At 35.5% G+C, this 24325-nt stretch overlaps 1 protein-coding gene across 17 annotated transcripts in view, besides 1 other annotated feature; it reads right to left on the reverse strand.

Annotated features, from left to right (window-relative positions):
* KIAA0825 overlaps positions 1-24325 on the reverse strand; it is a 467754-nt gene that overhangs the window by 291192 nt on the left and 152237 nt on the right. For all 17 annotated transcript variants that reach the window (XR_948246.3, NR_169751.1, NM_001145678.3 and 14 more), the window contains 3 exons: positions 22827-23017; positions 20345-20527; positions 10917-11027 (listed from right to left, as the gene is read on the reverse strand). Coding sequence is in view for 15 of the 17 variants with exons in the window: in NM_001145678.3 (NP_001139150.1) it covers positions 10917-11027; positions 20345-20527; positions 22827-23017 (485 nt within the window). In the remaining 2 variants the exon portion in view is untranslated. The remainder of the gene's footprint in view (positions 1-10916; positions 11028-20344; positions 20528-22826; positions 23018-24325) is intronic.
* Positions 22765-23964: an enhancer, noted in NCBI's record as "BRD4-independent group 4 enhancer chr5:93800512-93801711 (GRCh37/hg19 assembly coordinates)". NCBI's record gives its function as "activates an origin of replication core promoter dependent on BRD2, P300/CBP, MED14 and CDK7 cofactors, and independent of BRD4, by STARR-seq in HCT116 cells {active_cell/tissue: HCT116}" and the evidence as "EXISTENCE:reporter gene assay evidence [ECO:0000049][PMID:35650434]".

A 24325-nucleotide genomic window follows, 5' to 3' on the forward strand; every position in this document is an offset into this window, starting at 1 on the left:
ACTAAGCACATTTAAAGGCTTTCTAAATGTTAACTGATTGATTTTTCTGCTCATAAATGAGTAGGCAAACTTATAGAAAAAAAATGATGAGGATGCTTTGCCAAAAGGCTGGCTTAAACAAAAGTGAGAAGATTCAAAGACACAAAATGAAAAAGTCTCGAAGCACCTCCCCCTTGGCTTGGAATGGTGTTTGGAACATCTCATAACTTTATTATGCACAAAATCCATCAGCTTGTGTTTCAACCTTGGGCCAACTCAGGCTTCCCATGTAAAACTCTGATAACATATCTCAAATTGGAGTAACTCCTCAGGCAATTGGTGGGGCACTGTTAGCTAGGAAACCTCCTGCCTTGGGTGAGTGGTAAAGAGAGAAGAAGGGTGTTACTAAACTCTAGGGCCAGAGGAATCAAGTTTATCAGTTCTGAACATCCCAGGAGTTCTGAATTACTTTTGCAGATTAGTCTGGGTCTGGCTTTTGCAGTAGTTCCAAATGTGGTGCCAAAGGAAGAACTCACTAGATGAGCCCTTTGGACTAAAAATCTAAAACAGATCCTTACAATGGTTGCCCCTACTTCCATCCTAAACCCTAAACACTGATTCTAGATGCTCCCTTGGGGTTCAATGGATGAAAAATGCTACTTGGTAGTAAGCTGTATATTAAAATTGACTTGGGTTTTGAACATTTCCTACCTATATATTATGCTTGAGTTGAGTGCTAACTTAAGGATCCATTTGATGAACTGAAAGATCCCATTTGGCTGAAGTGTAGAAAGGAAAGGGAATCTTTGAGAGATAGTCTGAAGAAGGAGCCAAGAGCTAGATTGTGGAGAGCCTTAATATCCCAAGGTGTGGATTTTAGGCCCATTGGAGAGTTTAAGGCAAAGGAGTTTCCTGATCTGGTTGCAGTGTGGTGAATGGATTGGAGGTGGTTGGTGTTTTCCTTAGCCCTTCAGTCATGGAATAAAATCATTTGAATGTCACTTTATGCCGCTGTATCTGAATACCTGGTTATAAATAAAATCTCTCATTTACCAGATGGAAAGCTGTTTGTTGACATGTACCTCAATTCTTGGATCTTTCAACTTATCACAGATTTTGAAATGTACAGTAGAATGACTCACTATGAGGAAAAATAAAATAGTACAAACATTCTTCAATCACCAAGCTCTGAGTAATAAATGCATTGAGGAATCTGTGTTGGGCATATGGAGAAGCATATGTTCCCTCAGCCTTTGAGCTGGTGGAGCTGTGAAAGTGAGATTAGCCTTACAAAAAATGACAGAAAGGGAAATTTTATATATATATATGTATATATATACACACACACACACACACACACACGTATGTATGTATCAAATATGTACATGTTGAATTCCACCGTAATACAAAGGGGGAAAATGTTATAAATCCTATAGAACTCATAAATCTTGTACTAGGAGACAGGATGAATTGATGGCTGGGTTGTACTCAGCTTATACTGCAATAAGTGCTGTATTTCTGGGGCACAAATTTGCCTAAAGAATTTTTAAATTCCAGGTAGTAATGGGGTCCAAGCATTATTGGTTTATGAAACTATTAAACTATTTTTATAAAATCATTGTGAAAAATCTTAGCTACATTCAGATATGTTTATGAAAATTCATCAATTAGCTCACATACTTTCTTCAATTTTTTGGTATGTACTCATGCTGCAATAGAATGTTTAAACAAAATCTTAGCTGTATCAATCATACTGTCCTGACTTCCAACTTGATGTGAGGTAAGGCTTGGGCCAAGAGAAGGCTCTGCAGTAGGGTTCACACTGGGATATGAGTAGCCTTATTGCTCAGGCCACATGACCATGGGGTATATTGTTCCTACCATTTATATATCATGCAGAAGCTGCAAGACTAGCAGAAAATTGGAATGGACTCCAAAATTCACAGCTTGGGAATGACACTCAGTGGTGCTGGAATGCTGTCCCTCAAGACTTGATACTTATTTTTAACCAACAACCATTATATGGTACTGTGGCCCCAACAGACAAACTACATAGATCTGAGAGACAAGGGGTGAAAGTAGGAGCAGCCCCTCCCACCAAAGATTGTGATAATCCACTTGGCAAATTTGTGCTTTCTATCGCAATAACTATAAGCTCTGGAGGAGCAGAGGTTCTGGTTTCCATGGTGGGGTGGGATGGGGGTATACACACCTCTACCAGGGGGACCATTTAGGATCCCACTAAACCTAAAGTTATAGCTGCCATCTGGTCATTTTTGGCTCTCCATGCCAGCAGTCTATCAGGCAAAGAAAGGAATTACTATGCTGGTGAGGGTGATTAACCCTACTTATCATGAGGAGCTGGGCTTGCTACTGCATAAAGGGAGCAGCGAAGTGTATCTGTAACTCAAGAGATTCACCAGGGCATCTCTCAATGCTTTCATGACTGGCAATTATCACATTCAGAAGACTTCAGTAACCAAGTCTGATAAGGGAGTAGTAACCAGGAGTTCAGGTTACTTCAAGGATGAAGGTCTCGGTGACCCCACTGGGCAAGTAACATAAATCGGCAGAGATGATGGCCAATCATGAGGGAAAGATGGAATAGGTGGTAGAAGAATGTAATAATAAATATCACTTGCAGATTCAGAAATATCTGCAGCAGGGGGTACTGTAGCCTGTCCTGCTAAGTCCACTGTCATTAAGCTTAAATAAATGAATAAATTGTAACCAGCTATGACCCTGAAGAATCAATGATAGAATTCAGGGAACCTAACATAGGGAATAAGCAGATCTCAGTGGTGTAAAGGTTAGGGCCATAGAAGACATTCTCAATGACCCCATGTATTAATCCGTTTTCACATTGCTCTAAAGAACTACCTGAGACTGGGTAATTTATAAAGAGGTTTAATTGACTCACAGTTCGCATGGCTGGGGAGGCCTCAGGAAACTTACAATAATGGCAGAAGGTGAAGAGAAAGCAAGGCACATCTTACACGGCAGCAACGCTAATCTAGCACCTGAATCACTAAGACATTGGACAATACTGAATAACTCAGCCATCCTTTTGAGGAGCAGAAGTTAACTCCTTGGTGCCATTGACTATTATTGGTCCCTGTCTATAAGATATTGACCTATTACAGGGAGTTCAGAAAAAGTCTCCCCTAGCAACACATTCCTGACCCAGTAAGAAAGTGGTTCAATATTTCTTCCACTTTATCATACTTGAAGTAAGTCCTTTCAACATGTTTAGATAATTGATAAAACTTGCCACTCTCTGAAATATATAGCTCTTTACTAACAGCAGCTATGAATGATAGTTTAGTATTTATGTGATGAATGCCACTGAGGCACTTCAGCTCATGGAGTCCTCATGACCCTCCCATGAGAGTATCTCAGAAGTTAAGGGAAGAAGATGTTTCAAGATGGAGGAAGTAGACTGTTGGACTACATGCTGTCTTCAAGAAGATTAATAAGATTGTATTGTATTTATGTCTCAACATCCTCACCAAAATATAAACTGTTTCATATATGGGGAAACTGAACTGAATCACTCCTAGGCTAACTTTCCAAAATCACAAAACTCAACGAGTATGCAAACCAATGTGAAAACCTATAGCTGTTTCCTATCATCACATTGCTGGCTTCATTTCTATATTCTGAATTATGTAATATATTTAAGCCATGATAGAAAAGACATAAACCTTAAGATATCTAGGTCCATATGCTAAATACCTAGTTCAGTTGACATTTTCACTTTTTAAAATAACTGTTCCATAGACACTGACTTCCCTCTGAAAATCTTTTCATACTGCTTGTCCATCCACACTCTGGAACAGCCATTTAAGATCTCTGGTGTTTAAATCTCTCATTACTTCTCCACTGGCTATTGGCACTATGTCAATGCTTGGCACCTCATCAGAGCACAAGATCGCTAAGCTCTTTTCCTCAGTCCCGCAGAGCAGTTTTTCAGCAGCAGTTGGGAGACCAAAAACTCTTTTTGTCCTCCTCCCTAGATATTCTCTCCTGAGGATACTAGAAGTCACCTCCTCATTAAGATGGTGCTTCCCCTGCCTGGGCCTTACCACACAGATCAAATGTTCCCACCATTTAATATAGCACTTATGCAATACAATACTTTAATATAGCACTTAGGGGACACAATACCAGTTTGAATTTTTTTATTCATTCATTCAACTAATATTTATTGTTTAACTTGTATATGCTAAACCATGGAGACGTAACAGTAAGCAAAAAGCAGAAATTCCTTATTCTTATAGAATTTAGTGGAGGACACATATATAGTTTAAGTGATCATACAAATAAAGATAAAGTAACAATTATAAAAACTCATTGAAAGAAAAGTAAAAATGCTATTAGAAGTTGTAGTAAAAAGGAAGTTAACTAGTCTTTGGGGTTGATAAAAGGCTTCCCTGCAGAAGTCACATTTGAGCTGAGAGATGAAGATAAGCTGGCATTACCTATGTGAAAGAGAAAGACATTTTAGTGAAAGGGAAAAGCATATGCAAAGATCCTGTGGCAGAAAGGAACATGGCATAGAAAGAAAATGTAAATGGGTTAATGTGTGGAAAGCAGAATTCACAGAGTAGCAGGTATCAGAAGCGGGTTGAGAAGTGGGTAAGAGTTACATCTCTGCAGCTATTGTAGCCTATGCTAGTTTTTTGTACATATTTAAGGATAACGGTGAATTCATGGAAGGTAAGCCATAAGTATGCCATGATAAAATGTGAGTTTTGAAAATAGATTTGGGTTTGAGAAAACTCTTGCTACAGTTGGAGAATATTATAAATGGAAGTCAACATGTACACAGGAAAAATGCTAGTGGTCACTGGAGTAGTTAAGAGAGAGATGATGGTAGTTGAGACTAAGGTGAAACTGGTACTATGGAGAGTAGATATTAGAAGTTAAAATTAATGAGACTTAGTAATGGATTTGGTGTGTAGGAGAGCAAAAAGGAGGTGTCCAATTGCCTCCTAAGTCTAAGTCTCTGGCTTCTACAATTGGATGGACGTACCATTAGCTGAGATAGGGAATAGTAGAAGAAGATATGTTCGGAGGGGAATATCCTAAGTCCAGATTTGGTTATGGTGAGTTTGAGATGTCTTTATGATTTCCAGGTGTAAATTTCAAGAAGGTAGTCATGTATGGTTGGTACCCATATATTATGGATCTGTAGTCTTAAGAGAGATTAAAATTAATGATATGGATTTGGGGGGGCACACAAAGAGTACAGGAAACATAGAATGTTATGATCATCAAGAAAAAAGGTTACAGTATAGAATACTAACAATGTTCAATATTTAATTGCCAGGTTAAAGTATATGAACCTGCAAAGGAAACAGAAAAGCAGCAACAGGAAAGAAAGAAGACAAAAGTGGGTAAAAATCTCAGGAGGAAATCAAGAGAATATGTCAAGATGGAGGGAGTAGACAATGGTATCATATACTGTGGTCAAGCAGGCAAATACAATTGATTTCTTCACCAACATGTGACAATATGAGGAAAGGGACTTTGTCTTAAATGTCATTGCCTGCCTCTTTCTTCACCATTGACACCTAGCATAATGCCTTACATGGAGAACATTTTTTGAATGCATTTATTGAAGGAATGATTAAACACATCTTGCTAAACTAAATAAAAGGAAAGACCCACATAGCATGTAATATGAATATAATGAAACCAAAGATAGCTTAATATTTTTAGGGAGGAAAATATATGTATATAAATACAAAACAGGATTACATTGAATAGAAGCATAGTAGAAACAAAAAGCCCAGTGGAAAGAAATATATACAGCTCAAAATGGACTGGCCATGAATCAAAGCATCATGTTGTCACCATAAAAGAAAATTAGTAGTTAAAATGAATGGACTGTTTACTCACACTGATTATACTTCTTGGACTCAGTGTACAGTTATGACCTACTTAGCTAAGGAAGACCTGAAAATGCTTTTTTAAACCACATGAAGAGGTAAGTTTAGAAAATGATAAGAGGCATTATAATGCAACATATTATAATTGACTAGGACAGCATTCTTTCTTGAACATTTCTATGAATGCACAATATGGTATCTGTGTTAACCTTGAGATTAATACATTTTTCATATGTCTTAGCTTAATCTAGTATGAAACTGATTATCCTTTCTAAATCAACTCACGTTGTTAGCCTATACCACTGCTAAGGACAATGAATAGAGTACATTTTACTTACTGCTTTGAAAATATATTTATTTTCCCTAAAATAAACTCTTCTAAACTCTATTCCCAGGGTTCTAGGAGAATATGAAAAATTGTGCTTTTATCCATTTCATAGTTTTCTCTAGTAAGATTATAGACAAATTTATGGTCCGTACTGCTATTTGTCCATTTTTAATTCTATTTGTGTCCTGAATTTCATGTCCTTTTTGTTTCTTTCCTTCTCAGCCACTTTTAATTAATTATCTTAGTTTATTTAATGTTGCTAAAAGCTGACTTAAATTCTTTCTGAAACAATGTGCAGGTACAAATAAGTAAGCAAATAGATGAATAAATTACTAAGTTCCTTCATGATATTAACTATTTCAGTCACCTCTCCTCTCGGCCTTCCCTTTTACCAAAAGATAGGCCTAATATATTTTTTGTTTGTCATCATCCAATTCCTGTATTTCCTTGAACAGTTCATTTTAGTTGCTAAAGTGAAGAATAGAGTTTTGAAGGATAATTTGGGGGTGAAAGACTCACACAGACAGCTGTTACAGGTGAGGGAAATGAATGGAAAGGTGAGATTTTTAAGGTCATATAATGGTGGTCTAGGAATCCCCATTGTAATGTCTGATAAATGCAAATCAATAACTTTAGTTATTTTAAAATTGCTTTTATTGCTGCCCTGGGTTCCTCTGATTGTACGGTGCTCTGAGCACACTGTATTATAAATCACATGGATCATGTCTTTCTAAGCAGATTATATGGACTTAGTTGAAAATATGACACCTAATGGGCAGGGGGGATATCAGTGAGAGTCCTCCTAACATAACTTGCATGGAGAATTTAGAAAGACAAAGGAGAGAACCAAAGGTATTCCAAGAAAGGAAACTGCATAAACAAAGGCCTGAAGCTGAGAATAAGCAACAAATTCAATATTAAAAATATGGAATAACTAAGTCTTAAAGACACATGAGGAGACTGACTTAACTGGAGCAGAGAAAACTCTCCAGGAAATAAGCCAGAAAACTCTCCAACAAGTAAGCCAGGAGTGACAGTGTGGGTGAAGCAGAAGCTACTACAGGTTTCTGAATGAGAGAGAGATATAATGAAAACAGTCTTTTAAACACGTTAAATGATAGTAAAATGGACTAAGGTTGTTATAATGGGGTGGAGAGAAAGGGTGATTCTAAGAGAATTTTGGAAGAAAAATGAACTAAACACAATAATAAACTAGGACTAGAGGAAGAAAAGGCTCAACATGGAAATCATGATCAAGACTGTATTTTGGAAGCATGTAACAACACTGTTACTCCTAATAGAAAAGACTCCCTGCATGAAGGACAAGGGAAGAAGGGAAAGAAGGATCATTTGAAGACATCGTATTGAATGAAAGTGGGTATTCAAGAAATAACAACAGCTGGACATATACCGTTGGGGTATAGGTAATCACTCAAAGCTATAGATGCAGCACTGGAAATCATCTGTATAGAGGTTACAGGTTAAGCCATGTGAATAAAAGAGAAATCAAAGAAAATAGATTTTCTTTTTGCTTTTCAAAAAATGTATTCACAGGCCGGGCACAGTGGGTCATGCCTGCAATCCCAGCACTTTGGGAGGCCAAGGTGGGTGGATCACTTGAGGTCAGGAGTTTGAGGCCAGCCTGGCCAACATGGTGAAACCCTGTCTCTACTAAAAATACAAAAAATTAGCTGGGCATGGTGGCACGTGCCTGTAATCCCAGCTACTTGGGAGGCTGAGGCAGGAGAATCGCTTGAACCTGGGAGGCAGAGGTTGCAGTGATCCAAGATCGTGCCATTGGACTCCAGCCTGGGTGACAGAGTGAAACTCCATCTCAAAAAAAGAGTATTCATAATTAATAAAATTAAATTATAATCACTATAAAAACTTTGGAAAATATAGACAACTATGTAGATGAAAATTAAAATTGCTTGCAATCCTACCACCCAGAGATAAAAACTATAACCCCACCACTATATATCCTTTCAATATTTATTTTTCTATATGTACTTTTTTTTGTGCTCTAAATATGGTAGTAGAGCATAGTTTAACACTTCCTAATGATGTCCCACCTTCCAATAATTGTTAATTCCCTGCAAAACAAGAGTTCTCTCACCCAGCAAGTTTGGGGAATCTGCATACTAGATCACTCCTTTGAGACTGTCTTAGTCCATTTTGTGCTGCCATAAAAGAATAACACAGACTGGGTAATTTACAAAGAAGAAAAAATTATTTCTCACAGTCTGGAGGCTGGGAAGTCCAAGATCAAGGCACCAGCATCTGGTGAGGCCATCTTGCTGCATCCTCACATGGCAGAAGAAGGGCAAGATAAAATGAACCCATTCCTGTAAGCCCTTTTTATGGTAATACTAATCCATTTAAGATGGAAAAACCCACATGATATAAATAACTTCCATTAGACCCCACCACCCAACACAGTTGCATTGGGGATTATATTTCCAACAGTGAATTTTGGAGGATACATTCAGACCATAGCAGAGCTAAACACTACATACTAGCACGTCAGAATCCCTACAAAGTTAAATCACAAAAAAGACCTTACATAATTAATAACTGACAATCTTATTTGTGCAGTAGAATGATTTTTCATGTACACCTGTTAACATCATCCTGAACTGCTCTTCCCTTTGAAAGGTGGGGGTGTGGTTGTCAAGAGCTTAAGCTTTAGAATAGAACAGGCCTGGGTTCAGAGCCTGGCCTCCAGTTTTGTTCTCTCCAGAATGTTGCTGCCTATACAGCACTTTGCACTCCATAAAAGAAGCACCTGAGTACTTACCTTACAGAACTAGTATGAGGTTTTAAAAAGATAATGTATGTAAAGCACTTAGCATTGTGTCTGGTACACACTCATCACTCTAAAAACTGAGTTGGCTTTGGTAATTTCATCATTACTAATCTCAATTTTCCCCCTAACTTATCTACCACAATTATTTCTCTATGTAATTATTTCTCAAAACCCAGCCCTTTAATCACTCCACAGTAGTCTATTATGCCACTATTCCATACTGAATTGTTTAATGCTACAATGTAGAACATTTATTTCCATTTTTTCTCTTACAAATAATGTGCCGATGGATATCTTCATATATAAAACTTTGTCAACCTCTCTGATTAATTGCTTATAGTTGATTCCTAGAAACAGAATTGTTAGATAAAAGGGCAAAAATATTTTTAAGTTTTTAATACGTATTACTAAACTGCCCTCATGAATTTGCATAAAATTTCATTTCCACTATGAGCTGAATAGTCGTCCCCATGTTCTAGTCTTTGTGTTAGGATAATAATGGAGATTGATTGCTAAACAGAACAGAAAGAAAAGAAATGTGCATTTTTGCTTGCTGTAGATATAGAAAAGAGAAAGAAGTTAATATAAGAATTAGTGTTTGAAAGATAAGCCCATTTCCATGCTGATTTCCAGGACTCTAGCTGGGTTGATCCGAGCAAGCTTGGAAGTGGAAGTCTTACAGAGTTATGCCTAAAAGAGAATAACTCCAGTGGTTCCAGATATAAGATAAAAGCGGGCAGTAAAATAGGTTAAAGCAAATGTGATAATAACATGGAGAACAGATATGTTTATAGACTTAGGAACTCATCAAATGACACAGCTTGTTTGCTTGACTCACACTGTAAGAGATCCAGTCGTTTGTTACTTTTGCAACAATGAGTATTAAGGAGTTGGCTATTTAATTCGTAATGAAATAAAATATATTTATGGGCAAGATGGCAAGATATATTTACACACAAGATGACAGAGCATTGAGACTATTCTATTTCTAGGACTCAAACATAAGTAATTAACTAGAAATGTAGACAAAGTTTTCCATGTAAATGAGGTAATAACAATACATTGAGGTCCTTGAAGATGGGGTCTATGTCTCATTAATGTTGGATTTTTCATTACCCATATGGAAATAGGCACACATTAGGCAAACAGTGTAAGTTTGTTTTGTCTATGGAAACTTCTGTATATGAGGTTTTCACACCCTCTATTTATGGGTGACAATCTTGTTCCTCAAGAGAGAGATATAGTCAGCTTAGATGGTAAAATAGCTGATAGTGTATTTCCAAGATGAATCAAGAATGTATGGGGATTAACAATATCTCCTTTAGCTGTACATGATATTTTTATTCTCAGATACCAAGGAAAGGTACTTTCCAATGTTATATTTAGCAAGAAATCAAACTGCCATTTCACATAATGCCACAAAATGCCATCAGATTACTCTGGAAGCACATTTCATACTTTAAATGATTTTTCTTGTTTTTAAGTGCTGTTAATTAAATAATAAAAGTGAAAGATCCTACTCATAATTTAAAAAGTTACTTCTCTTTCAACTTCTACCTAAGGCTCTGAGTTAGTTACATGTCTATGTTTGATAATTAGCTTGAGAACTGCCAAATCCCCAGTCATAGATCAAGAAAGACAAGTTTTAAAATAAAACTAAATTCCAAAAATTTACAGTTTTCCATTACATCACGAAAGCTATAAGCTAGTAGAATAATTATGAGGCCCATGCCTTTGATTCTTGAGCTAAGAAAAGAGAAATAATACTCTTTACTTACCTGCCAATTGTGAAAAGTCGTAAGTTCTTTTTGTAAGATATAAGTTCGTTTACATCCATTGATAAAAATTTCTATTAAATTTTAAAAGGAATCATAGAATTATAGATAGTATGGCATTTAGAGGCTCTCACCTGAGTAAAGAAGGGTAGAAATGTGATATGCAAGAAACCCAATATAATGGTTGCTTAAAAAATGATTTTAAGGAATCTGAAGCAGACTCATCCAGGCCATGCTGAAAAGTCCTAGGGAAATACAAATAATTAGTTTAGAATATACAGGAAGCATTAACTATGACCATTGAAATAACTTTTGATTTTTACTTAGGATTCAGTTAATGATTTTTTTTGTTTGTTTCTTTGTTTGGAGACAGAGTCTTGCTCTGTCGCCCAGTCTGGAGTGTAGTGGTGCGATTCCGGCTCACTGCAACCTCTGCCTCCCAGGGTCAAGCGATTCTCCTGCTTCAGCCTCCCTAGTAGCTGGGGTTACAGGCATATGCTGCCACGTGTGGCTGATTTTTTTTTTTTTTTTTTTTGTATTTTAGTAGAGATGGGGTTTCAACATGTTGTCCAGGCTGGTCTCGAACCCCTGAACTCAGGCAATCCACCCGCCTTGGCCTCTCAAAGTGCTGGGATTACAGGCGTGAGCCACTGTGCCCGGCTCAGTTAAAGATTTTTACACAAAATGGTATTGTGCTAGAATGGACAATGCCGCTACTTCATCCGCTTGGGATTTATGTTAATAGGTGGCTCAGGGGCCAGGTGGGCAAGTCAGCATAGACATGAAAAACCACAAGTTGAGATTTAGAATTTTTACGAACCTCTATAAAACAATCTTTACACTTGGGGAAGGTGTAACAATACTATTATCATTTAATTTTTAAAAATCTCATGTTATATAATTTGTCATGACAAAACGATGAAGAATAGTACAATGAATATTACTTATGCTTCCCATGAGTAGTATTTTTATGTCCCATTGTTATTTTCTTCAACCTGGATCCAATAAATGCCAGTATTTGCTTCATTAATGTAAAAATTTTAGCATGATGGTACCTCTTTTTAATCTTTAAAGTGATTTATAAATATTAAATAATTAATTAGAATTTATAATTAATTTTTTATGCTCCTAAGGATCTAGAGAGGGCTTATAAAGAAGAATTTAGTTGTAAAATACATAATTATACTTTCAAAATTAAAACAATGTAACCCGAATATCTGATCTACGGCTATCAACAGTTACTGTAACATTTTTCTAGATTGGCTCAAATTCAACTCTAAATCTTGACACAATATAAAAGGATTTGTTACATAAAATCTTTAGCAGATAACTTGGCTAGTAACAAATGTATAACAACAGGAGATTATATTTTCCTACACAGAGTTAAGAGTAATGACTGGGAATACTTTAGAAATGGAATTTTTGAGGTAGTACCATCTCTCTTTATATACAGTACAGGAGCAATAGTGTCTTTTGATATCCAGAACAGATTTCCATTTTGAAAATCCACCTTTATCTTTTCACTCCACATCTTGCTTCTTGTATCCTCATGCTTTTTCAAATCTGACCCTTCTCTCCCCCTGGTTGTCTTGCTAAATAGAACATCTTCTAATTAAATAGACTTGGACATTTTTTAGACTTTAATATATCATCTCTTCTTTAAAAGGCTTTTTTTCTCACTAAATCTCAGATCAAAACAGAAATTCCTTAAATAGGCTTCAAAGTCAGGCTGTAATATTTCCATCCCATGTATTCCACTATGTGAGCTAGAGAAGTAGGCAGAAGCCAGACCAGGTACCAGGATATGTTTTTCTAAGGAGTTTGGACTTAGTACTGGCAGTAAAGAATCACTGAAGAGTGTATAGCATGGGATTAACACTAGCAGTTTTACATTCTAGAAAAATAACTTTAGCAGTAGTGAGGAGAGCAGGTTGGAAAGAGTCAGGCAGGAGAGAGGGAGATAATGAAGGCAATATTGCAGTAGACAGGTCAGAGAGGATAAGACACTGAACCAAGGTAAGAGACAGGAGATAGTAAGTAGTAGACAAATATAAAACATGTTAAATTCACAGAACGAACAATATTCATCTCCTAATGACATGGAGTTGGTGATGGCATGAATGGGAAGATAGAAGGAGAAAATTAAGGGAAACGAAGAAGCTTAGGATACATTGCAAGTATTTTTCTTAGTTTTAGGTATGTTAAGGGGGCTGCGGACATCCGAAGTACATCCAAGGCATCCAATAGTAATTTGGATTTACTGATACAGCACATACAAGAGCTGTCTGGTTTGAAGATATCAGTGTGGAAGTCATCAACATAATGGTATAGCCATAGCAATGGGTGAATTCACACTACCCCCCAACCCCCCGCCAAAAAAAAGGAACGTAAGATGTAAAGATCGTCAAAGATAAAACTCTGGAACATACCCACACTTAAAGAAACATTCAAGCAAAACCAAGAAGGAATAATCAGAGAAGTAGGCCAAGACACAGGAGAAAGTGGTGTTAGAGAAGCCAAAAGAAGAGAAAATGACTGAATCCACTGAGTTAGCAATCAGGTATGTATGGAGGACCCTGCCCATGTTGTTAGCTTAGCATGCTGAGGGTAGAAGTCCAGTTGCAGTGCACTGAGTGAGTGGTAGGTATAAAAGTAGACAATGAATGAAAACTGTTTTGAGAGGGAAACATAATAGTAACGGAGGAACATTTTTTAATATAGGAGATGTTTGGGGGAAGGAGCCACAAGACAAGATAGAAAGGATGTTTAAAAGGCCATTAGTAGGAGGTAAATGCAATCAAGAGATCAGGTAAAAAGATTTACTTTAATTGGGAAAAGAGACATATTGATCAGAGAGTAATCAAAGGATGTAGAGGTGAGTGGAGAGAAGAATAATTATTAAAAACAGAAATGAGAAGTTAAAGTGCATTCATGATGGTGTGGATTTTCTTAGAAGTACAGGGACAAGGCCATCTGCTAACAAACAGATGGGGCAAGATCAGGGGCTTGATCCAAGTGGGGAAGGATGAAAAAAGGAGTTACCCAAGGTTGGACAAAGAGTGGAATTGCCAAAAGGTATAAAAGGAGAGGTGGGTGATATTCTCTAAAAGTGTACCAGAGTCTGGATACAGCCCAAGAAAGTGAGGGTATGAGGAGGACCATGCCACTGCAAGAGAGCTAGGAAAGGGAGGGTGCTGGTACAATGTGACAAGAGATACAGCAAGTGGCCTGGAGAGAAAGGCAGTCTCAAAGGAAGAGAAAGACTCAGAGAAAATGACGGGACAAGACATGGAAGTCTTGATGAGAGATCAGGAGGGACTGGAGAATGCGGACATACATATCTTTGTAGCCTTTCTCATAGCCTCTGCCTACTTTCCCTCACACTTCTTTGATCTCTTTGCATAAAATCCCTATTTGTCTAGTTATCTGAGGGCCACTTCATTCCTCTAAGAATGAATACCTTACCTAGATGACTTCTCTGTCATGTTCAAGTAGCTCCATAGATTGCTCTACCTCTGAAGCTTCTCTGCTAAGTCTTCTCTGACTACCCTTTCTAAAATATATCCCCTTTCACAACCTCATCCCCCCTCTATGCCCTAATTTTGGTTTGTTTTTATAGGATTTAACTCTACCTCCAATCCCTTTCCATTTACTTTTTTATCTGCTCCATACCACAAGGGTAAGGTCATCAAAGGTTATATAGAGGTAGTGTATGGGCACATGCAGGAACCGGAGCCAGAGAGCCTGGGCTTATATCCTTAACATGCTTTTATTAACAGGCAATGCTGGTGGCAGTATATTTAGCCTTCGTTTTCTCATTTGTAAAATGGGAATTAAAATAGTAAATCACCTCACAGAGTCAGTATGAAGATTAAGTGTAATAATGTATTTAAAGGATTTAGCAAAGTGCCTTGTACACAATAAGTGCTCAATATAAATAAGATATCATTATGAGATAACAACAGTTAGAAATCGTCCTTAAAAAAGTCTATGGCCATTTCAAAACTAACATGAAATTCCTGATAGTCTAAATGGTTGCCTAGCTACAGTTTTATTCTCATGACTAGATAAAATAATGGAGGGTCTAAAAATAATGGCATGGTTATTTAGTACACAAATTTCTTAGATGACAAACCATTGGCAATATGGTATTTACCTGAGCATTTCTGCCAGTACCTAAACTGTTTTACTCCACTGACAGTTTCTCAGTCATACTGGTTATAGTAAGGTTATTTGGCTATAAGAGATATTATGGCAGATGTTTATGGTCTCAAAGGGAGTGAGATCTGTATGAGCATTTAATTCCACAGCAAGATCCCAAATTAGTTTCATTATTCTAGAGAGTATAACAGGGTGAAAATTGGCTCACAAGCCTCAATGGGAGAATGAAATTATGAGCTAGCTATTAGACAACCTCTAATGATGTTTTGGTATACAGTTAAAAGAGAGGATGCTCTAAATAATTCATAGTGGAGAGTAAAATACAATTGTATGAGCCATAGGATTATATTTTCCACAAGACATAAAAGAATTTTGATACAGCAAATTTAAATACTTTCTTAAAAATAAATGTCTATAAGTTTGAAGCAGGTACATTTCTTCACATTCCCAAATGAACACACTGTAAAGATGACTTTGCTTAAGGGGAAAAGAGTGCATTTGGGAAAATTCCTTGCCTTTGTCCTTCCTCCAGCCTCAACTAGCTATGCCCCTTCCTTGCGTTAGCATCGTAGGGCCTCTGTGCCGACCACGCCAGCACTCTGTCCTAGATTCACTCTCTCTGGGTTCTCTGATCTACACCTATGTTGCCGGCATTCCTTTTTCCTTTAACAAAACTGATCAGCTCTTTGGGCTTATGTAGCCAGATGCTGAAAGGAGATAAAAACCAATGCACATCAAAAGTGAGAACAACTGATGAGCTAAAAAGAGTTAGCTGGGTTTTATGCTTCTCTTGTGTCGTGTTGCTTTCGGCTGCCCTCCCCAGGAGAAACGGGTCTCATAATACGATGTTAATGGAATAAACCTCCATGACTAAATTAAGGTAGCCCAAGGATGTAAGCTCTATGTGAATGGAGGGTCAGGTTAGACTTCTTGAGTCATCTGTGCCTGCCATGGTGCCTGGGCCATTGGAGGTGTTCAGTAAATAATACCAAGAGAAGACCACAACCTTAGAAAAGGCAGAATTAGTGTGAAACTGAATGACTAAGATAGCCCTGAAAAGCTTGAGATAAGTGAGGACATGTGAACCTTTCTGATGGCCCTAGAATCACAGACAACTACCTATGAATACCAAATTCAAGATTTTAAACAGAATTCTAAGTAGCTACTTCACTTTCAAAAACCGGCATTATACCTGAGACTACAAGTTGTTGCCTAAATGTCATTAAGTAACTTTTAAGTGCCTTGAATTTCTCATGATGAAAATAACTCTTTGAGGTTAGCAAATGATAATTTGAGGTTAGAGAATAACTGGCCCATAGTAGATTCATGGTAAATACATGGTAAAACAAAGAAAGGATGAATAAAAGGTATTACCAGACCTTGCTTAGTTAAAAGGAGGATGAGTTTTAAGGGCCATCTGTGAAGAGCAATTGTGGGTGGTAGACAGCCAAAGGGCAGGTTGAGAACAGGACACTAGGTGGAGAGAGAGAAAGACTGGACCTTGGGGTACACCAGGAACCAGCCAGTCGAATATTCTGGGAGCAGCCCTCTTTAAATTCAATGACTGGCTCTTTTGGGGTATTTTAACCTTATTAGGATGATATATAAAGCTGTTTAATTTTGCGTTTTTTAAAAAATGAGATTTCCCTTTAAAAATAATGTTTACAGGAAGGTGGAAAAAGGGAGTCATTGAACCTAAACAAAATGGCTAAGGCAAGAAACTTCACTTTCTGGAAAATTTTGCATTCTGCCAGATACCTTTTTTTTAAAAAAAAAAAATCATTTTAAATGTGTTTAAATTTCCATTCAGTCTATATTCATTTTCACAACTTTATTGAGATGTATAATTCATATACCACAAGATTTACCCACTTAAAGTATACAATTAGATGGTTTATACTATATTTATGGAGCTGCATAACCTCCTAAGTATCTAATTTTAGAATATTTTATTCCCAAACGAAACCCTGTATTCATTAGCTGTCACTCCCCATTCCCTCCTCCCCTCAGCTTCTGGTAACCACTGATCTACTCTCTGTCTCTATGGATTTGCCTATTCCGGACATTTCTAATAAATAGAATCAAACAATGTGTGGGCTCTTGTGTCTGGTTTTTTTCACTTAGCATGTTTTTGAGGTTCATCTCTGTGGCAGCACATATCAGCACTTTATTCCCCTTTATTACTGAATAATATTCCACTGTATGGATATGCCACATTTTATGTATCCATTCACTAGTTGATGGGCATTTGGCTGCTTTCTCATTGTGTTATTTTGAAAAATGCTGCTACACAAATTTTTGTATGGACATAACATTTTGAACACTCCCACACAAATTTTTGTGTGGACATAGTATTTTCATTGCTGGGCCATATGACCATATGCTCAACATTTCATATAAGCATATTCTACGCTTAACATTTTGGGGACCTGCCTATTTTCCAAGGTGTGCCAGTCACTCCTGAGGTAGGAAAAGCAAAGGCCTATTTTATTTTCTGAAAGACAGTGAAATAGTTTCTTTTTAAACAAAGGGTAAGGCCATAACCTCGAAAGGCCTAACATTAGTTTGAAACAGAACTATAAACAGAGCATTGGAATTTGGTGACTAAAAAGCCTTATGAGTGACAACAAATGGACCCCAAGATGAGGCTGCTATTCCTTGGCTTAGTGATCTACCTTCGGGTATATTTCTGATGACCCTATCCTCTGCATGGCTTGTTGGAAGTTGTATTGAAATCCCACACTTCCATCTTATTAAATGTTGAAATAGCCAGCTTTCAAAAAGTTTCTACTATTAGGAGTTTTGATATAAAACATCAAAACATTCGGGTAAATATAGATATAGACATTAGATATACATATGAAATTTATTATCTAATTCTACTTTTTATTATAGATTTAGGTAGGGCAATATTATTTTAATTTAAAATAAAAAATATCATCAGCTTTTCTTAAATTACTTGTGGCAAATATTACATCTTGCTCATTGTTGTATCCCTTTTCTTTAATCAGAGGGGCTAGAGAGGCAGCAACATTTGTTGAATTGAAACTGAATTGCATTTACCCAAAATTCTAGTAATTAATTTTTAACCTGCTACACATGAACTAAAACTAAAGTCTACTCATCCAAAATGCAACATATGAAACCACTGTGTGGGGATGTGTATGAACATGTATGTGAATATGCTTCTGAACCTGCAGTTTAACTGCCTTTATGAAAGAAATATAAGTGATAAGCACTTTGGAAAATACATGGTGAATATTTTCTGTTTCAGCATGTTCCTTTCCCTGGAGAACAAAGTTGAAGTACTCCTTTTACAACATTCTAACAGAAATCTATAAAGGCGAGCTAAAAAAGAACACATATTTTTGCAAACAGGTTTCATTCTTCCTGAAAAGACTTTAAAATCATGTATTCCTGTCCAGGGATTTCGTGGTCCTACGCTAAGTTCAGAAAGGAAAACACGTTCAGTTTATCCGTCAGAACTACTTGAAATAAAGGCAGTCACCTTCTAAAAGGGCATATCACATAGAGTGACAAATGTCAGATACAGTTTATAAAAATTCAATATTATTAACATCTGATTGCTACTTTTCACCAATTCCTCAAAGAATGTGGTTTAATTTTTTAATGTGAGATTCACAATTTTTTTAATATGCTAATAGTATGACAGATTCATATCTTGGATGTGTAAAAAAGCTCAATAAGTCAGTAGAGTTCTTGCAACACACAAATATATTTTTCCCTAATTGGCAAAGAACATGTTGCCCTGTATATTTCATTTGTCAATACAAAGCAAAGTATATTTCAAAGATTAGATGTATAGTCTAGGAAAATAATCATGACATTTAAGTAAACATAAATGGATAAAACTTTTGAAATTTTCTGAACTGAGAAATATTTTAAAAGAATTAAAGTATATCTAGATTTTTGTTCATGCTTCAAAGCAATATAGTTATCTATGTTTTACATTAAGAAAAACCAGAGGCAGTGCTTAGCGTAAAATGTTCTGTAATCCTGATTGAAATTAGCAATTTAAATTTGCTGAATGAGGTTACAGTGCAATATCTAATGCACAAATCATAGAGATTTCAGTACTTGCATAGTTGTTAAAAATGTATCAAAAAGCCATAGGTTAACAATAATGAATGTATGTTACATTATTATTAAAATATGCAATCTTTGATAATAATTTATTTGTTTTACAAATGCATTGGGGGGCTAAAATTTTTCAATTCATCTGTGACAAAGCATGAAATTCAATATTGCTCACCATGACCAATCCATGAAATTTGTCAACTTTGTTCCCGATTTTCACAGGGCCTTCCTCTTAGATGAAATGACCCATTGAACTGAGAGCACAGCAATTTTTTCATCTATGGTAAATCAGTTTAGTTTCCTAGGATTTATTATGGGCTTCAGACTTGAGCTTTTTACGATTATGAACGATTATGTACATAGTATCAACCGTATGGTGATTTATCTTACAGTTTCTTCCCCTTTCTGAAAGAATGCTCCATTTCTAAAAGTAGCTCTCAACTTGGGTTGCTAGAAGGAACATTCTGTAAACAATGGGTTTATTGAAAGTCAGAGTAGGTGAAGCTGAAATAAAGGCTGTTAATTCTCTTAGAATATCTAATACAAATGTGTCAAAATGTATTAAAAATTAAGATTTGTATGTCGCTTTTACCAGAATGTTATGCAAAGAAACACTTGACCTAATTTATCCTTAGAAATAGACATATGTGAAATTTTTACTACCCATGAAGATACAATTATTTAGTTAAAAAATAAAAGTGACAATTTTGGAGGAGGATATAAACAAAATGGTATTAATATTTTATTATAAGACGTATTCTAACCTCCTCTATAGCATTACAGATTTGAATTGAATTAACCAGAAATCAAAAGTAATTCCACATTTCTAGATTTTTCTAAATCTTATTTGTTGAGCTAAGTAAAATATTTCCACATTTTAAAAATGTAATTATTATTTCTATTTCCATTTGCCATTGCTAGTTGAGGTATATCTCAAATATAGTTTTCTTTTTCACAGAGTATCAAAAAATCACTGCGATAACCAGGCCATCAATATAATTTGATCATTTAAACAACCCAAATAGTGAAACTAAAAATGTTCCTGATTGTATTAGAACTTTATCAGCTGAATGGGATTGACCAATAGAAACATAACACATTTTCGGGCACTGAATTGCATCGAGAATTATGAAACTCTGTTGGTTGGTGTTAGTTTTATAAAATGGCCTAGTTCACAGTATCAAAAATGCACTTCAGAAGATTTCTACTTGTAACTTCACATAATTCCATAAGTGTTATGAAAATAACTTTGTTAATCACGTTATATCATAATAGCTAAAAGGAAAATACATTTGATACTTACTTATATAATTCTGTTAATGGTGAAGTCAAAATGACTAATGTTGTAAACAGATTATTACAATGAGTGTGAATTTTAAAAATTTTATCATCTGTATGCTGATGAGGATTCAAAAGTTTCTGTACAGATGTACAAACTGACCATAACATGTTCTCAGTGCATATCAAAATTGTTGTGACATCAAGTCTGTTGGAAAGAAAGAAAAGAAAATCATGTTAAACAAAATAATGTCTCTGCTTGGTAGGCACTTTCATTCATATCTCTTGTACTAAGCATATGTAAGAATAGAAGAATTCAGTTAGATACCAGAACTTCAGAGATCTAAACCAAAAAGAAAGTATCAAAGACACTCTTTGAGTTTCTAGGTGTTAGATGACCCACAATACCATTATCTTTAGGGATGGTGAGCTCTGTAATAGAGTTTTAGGAGTGCTTTTAAAAACTGTTTCTTTTACATTATTAGGATTCTGTTCAAGAAACTCAAGAGATCATCCCGGAAATTATACTGAGCAAAACAGAAACTAGATGAGAAGAAAAATTTGCTATTATCCATGTATATGTATGATAGGTTAAAATTTCATAGCACAACAATTCTCCTCACTCATATGTAAGCTGTCAAAAAAAGTTACAAGATTGGTAGCATGTTCTCCCAGCAAGTGGGAGATAAGAAGAAATGACAAACGAAGCTCAAATCGAGAAGCCTATAGTTTCAGAAATGTTTAATATTAAATAAATTTGTGGAAAATATGCATATTATTTATCTTATTCATAGACTTATTTCTTTGTTTCCATCTTTCTCAAGTTTTAATAGGGACCCGAAGATCTCTTTAATTATTATTTTGGCATCTAACTAAATTGAACAGACCTCAGTTAGTTTCTTCTTTTATTTGTCTTTTACATTCAGGGTTGAAGAAATAGAAAATGAAAATTTTGAAGTGATAAGAAAAATACAACTTTGAGGATCTTTTAAAATGACATTTTGGTCTCAAATTTATTATATAATAAATATTATATATTAATAATATATGACACATATATAAACCATATATATGGCTTAGTTATGTGACATTTGGAGGCTACTGGAATACTAAAAGAATCAATAATAGCCTTTATAAACGTTTAATTTTAGTTTGTACATGCTTTTCCTAATTGCTAGATAAACAATTTCTAATCCAATATATATGGAGAGACACACATACACAATCTGATTTCCATAATAATGGTGGTTTAGGATTAACCAGTCAAATAAAAATATTTATATATTTTACTTATAAAAACTAGAAGCAATAATTCTAGCATTGCATGGCATTTTTATGCAACCACCCAGAAAATAAAAACCAAAAGTCTCTATTGTACAGTTAATTCATTAAATATACTACCCATTTCTACTTATTTCATGAGGTAACAGTAAAGCTGATTTCACAAATATCTCATAATGACTTGCCATTTCATAATCAAAAGTGATTTATGCTACATAAGGAAAAGAATGAAGGTATTCTTTGCTTTCAAAAGGAATTTTCCGTCTATTCTTCAGAGTTCAGTTTTTTAAAAGAGTCTGGTCAGTAATTCAAAACAGCCTGTGCAAAATACCATATTTATGAAACACTGCAGCAGGACCTAAATGCCCTTCAAATTACAGCATGCTTTACAAGAACATGATCAGGAAATGATTCCTCCTGCCAAAAAAAAAAAAAAAAAAAAAGAAAGCCTCCCGTGTCTGTAGGTTCCTCCTAAAATATATCTGAAAAAAGATTATTCTACCTAAAAGGTCTGAATCACATTATACAGAATATTTACAAAACAAAAGGCTTTTCTTCATATACATACAAGACCACTGTAGTCATGTAAGCACAATTCATATATTCATTGCCTAGATAACTCATAGAATTGTACTAGAATTCAGTCTTATTTAATACTCAGTGACTGCTGCTCCTCATTTTCTGTGATTTCACATTTTGTTGAACTGGCTGTTAGTAACAAATAGTGAAAATAAAAGGAAAAAATAATTAGAATATATTAGGAAGAAAATAATTAGGTTTTCTTAATGAAGATAAGCTTCTATATTTAAAGCCTTAACAAAAAACAACTCAAATCCCCTGGTTGCCTAGAAGCTCAAATCAAATGTGTCAAATTGACTGCTCCATCATGGCATGGATGCTTTGGTATCAATTTCAGGGACTTAATTTTCTATTTTTATCTTATTAACATTTGTGTATCTATATCCTAGATTATAGGACACCTTGAATCATTTTTTAGCAACAAGTGGGTTCTATAGACGATTTTAAGGAATAAAAAGAACAAACGTATTTTGAATCAGGTTTCATATTTCCACTTAAATAACTCAGGAGAATAGAATATGATTTCTTTTCAGATGTTAGAAACATGTTAAATATATAAGGAGTATGTCATGAGATTCAGAATTCTGCTTTATACCAACTAATGAAAAGTTTTCTTGAAAAGCAATGTTTTTCAGAACTTCAATTACCTTAACTGTGGAGTTCTTTTACGGCTGGGGTGGGCCCGAGCGTATCTGGAGGCCAGTAGACTCAAAGATTTCTCCAGCACTTCCACTAGAATCTCCTGGGCTAACTTAGGAGGCAGAATGGTCCAGAGATCGTAATGAAGAGACCAGCAGAAATAATGCCACATCTGGATCGAGAAGGAACATCTTTCCCCCTGGCAAAGCCAGCACACGTTAAACCATAGAGTTACATCTTCTAAAATGTCGATTTGCTTCCTATGAACGTAATTAGTTCAGGCTGAAAGGAAATAGCTAAAGAGTTTGACACACTAGAAGACCAACAAAGATTTTTGACAAGATGTAAAACATCCTTATTGACAAAGGAACAGATGTTTTATTTCGAGACTAGATATTCTAGTGCAAATCCAGATCACAAACATTTAACCTAGCATAGCCTTGATTTACCTACGCCTAGCCTAGGGTTTAAAATCTATTTTTAAACAACTAGCTTTGTAGTTGCTGAAAAAGCCATGCTAGCTTGTTTAAGATAGTGGACTGATTCTTCTAAAATTAAAATCTATTTAAATAATTTCAGTAGGTATATTTTTCTGAGCCTATTAGCATCATTAAGGTAATTTTATAAATGTTTCAGATTTCGCATTATAATGAAGTAACAGGAGTAAAAATAAACTTGCATACTGCATTCTTAGGAACATTCTTGAAACTAAGGGGGATGGGTAACTATCGAATATTATTACATTAGGCTATTTTGCCTATGGCATTTAAATAACAATACTAGAAACAGATACCACAATAGTCTGAGTTTACAAGATTTTCTAAAGCCTAGGCACATATTATCATCATTTCTTAGTATTTTTATGACACTTCATACTTTTAAAGAGTTATATTTTCATTCCTTTCCACCCCTGTACAGATCTCTTCTGTGTGCCAAATTTTCCGACTGCAGAGGAAGAATTAACAATGGCCAAGGCCAAGGGGAACAGGCAGAAAGAAGAGTGTGGCCTCAAATGATTTACAAGCATTAATCAGGTAACACGTACTCTCAGGGAGGTATGCTAGTAGTTTCACCTTATTTTCTTCAAATCAGATCAAATGATTATTTGAAATAGGAAGATTAGAATGCATTCCTCAAGCATTATCTTGATTATGTTAATATATCAAAAGTTAAACCAGTAAAATTTCCCATTATATTCCAAGTGATTATCTTTTACTTAAAATTTCTGCTTTGTCTACTATCTGTATTTGTCAGGCAAATGTCATGTAAAAAAAAAAAATCTGCTGTTCTCTTATACCAAAAGTTGATCATTTCTTATGTAGACACTCCCATTAGTATTTTCTTTATGTATTACTCTTCTGGTAGTTTATTTGATTACTAATATCTTCTGCAGCCAATGAAACGATAATAATTTATAGTTATTATCTACCGACTTTCAAATGACATTTATAAACCAGTAGAATTTGTATTCCTTGGGTAAGAAACTTGGGCATCAAAATGTCAGAGT

The sequence above is a fragment of the Homo sapiens genome, chromosome 5, assembly GCF_000001405.40.
Source record: "Homo sapiens chromosome 5, GRCh38.p14 Primary Assembly".
Classification (NCBI taxonomy): Eukaryota; Metazoa; Chordata; class Mammalia; order Primates; family Hominidae; genus Homo; species Homo sapiens.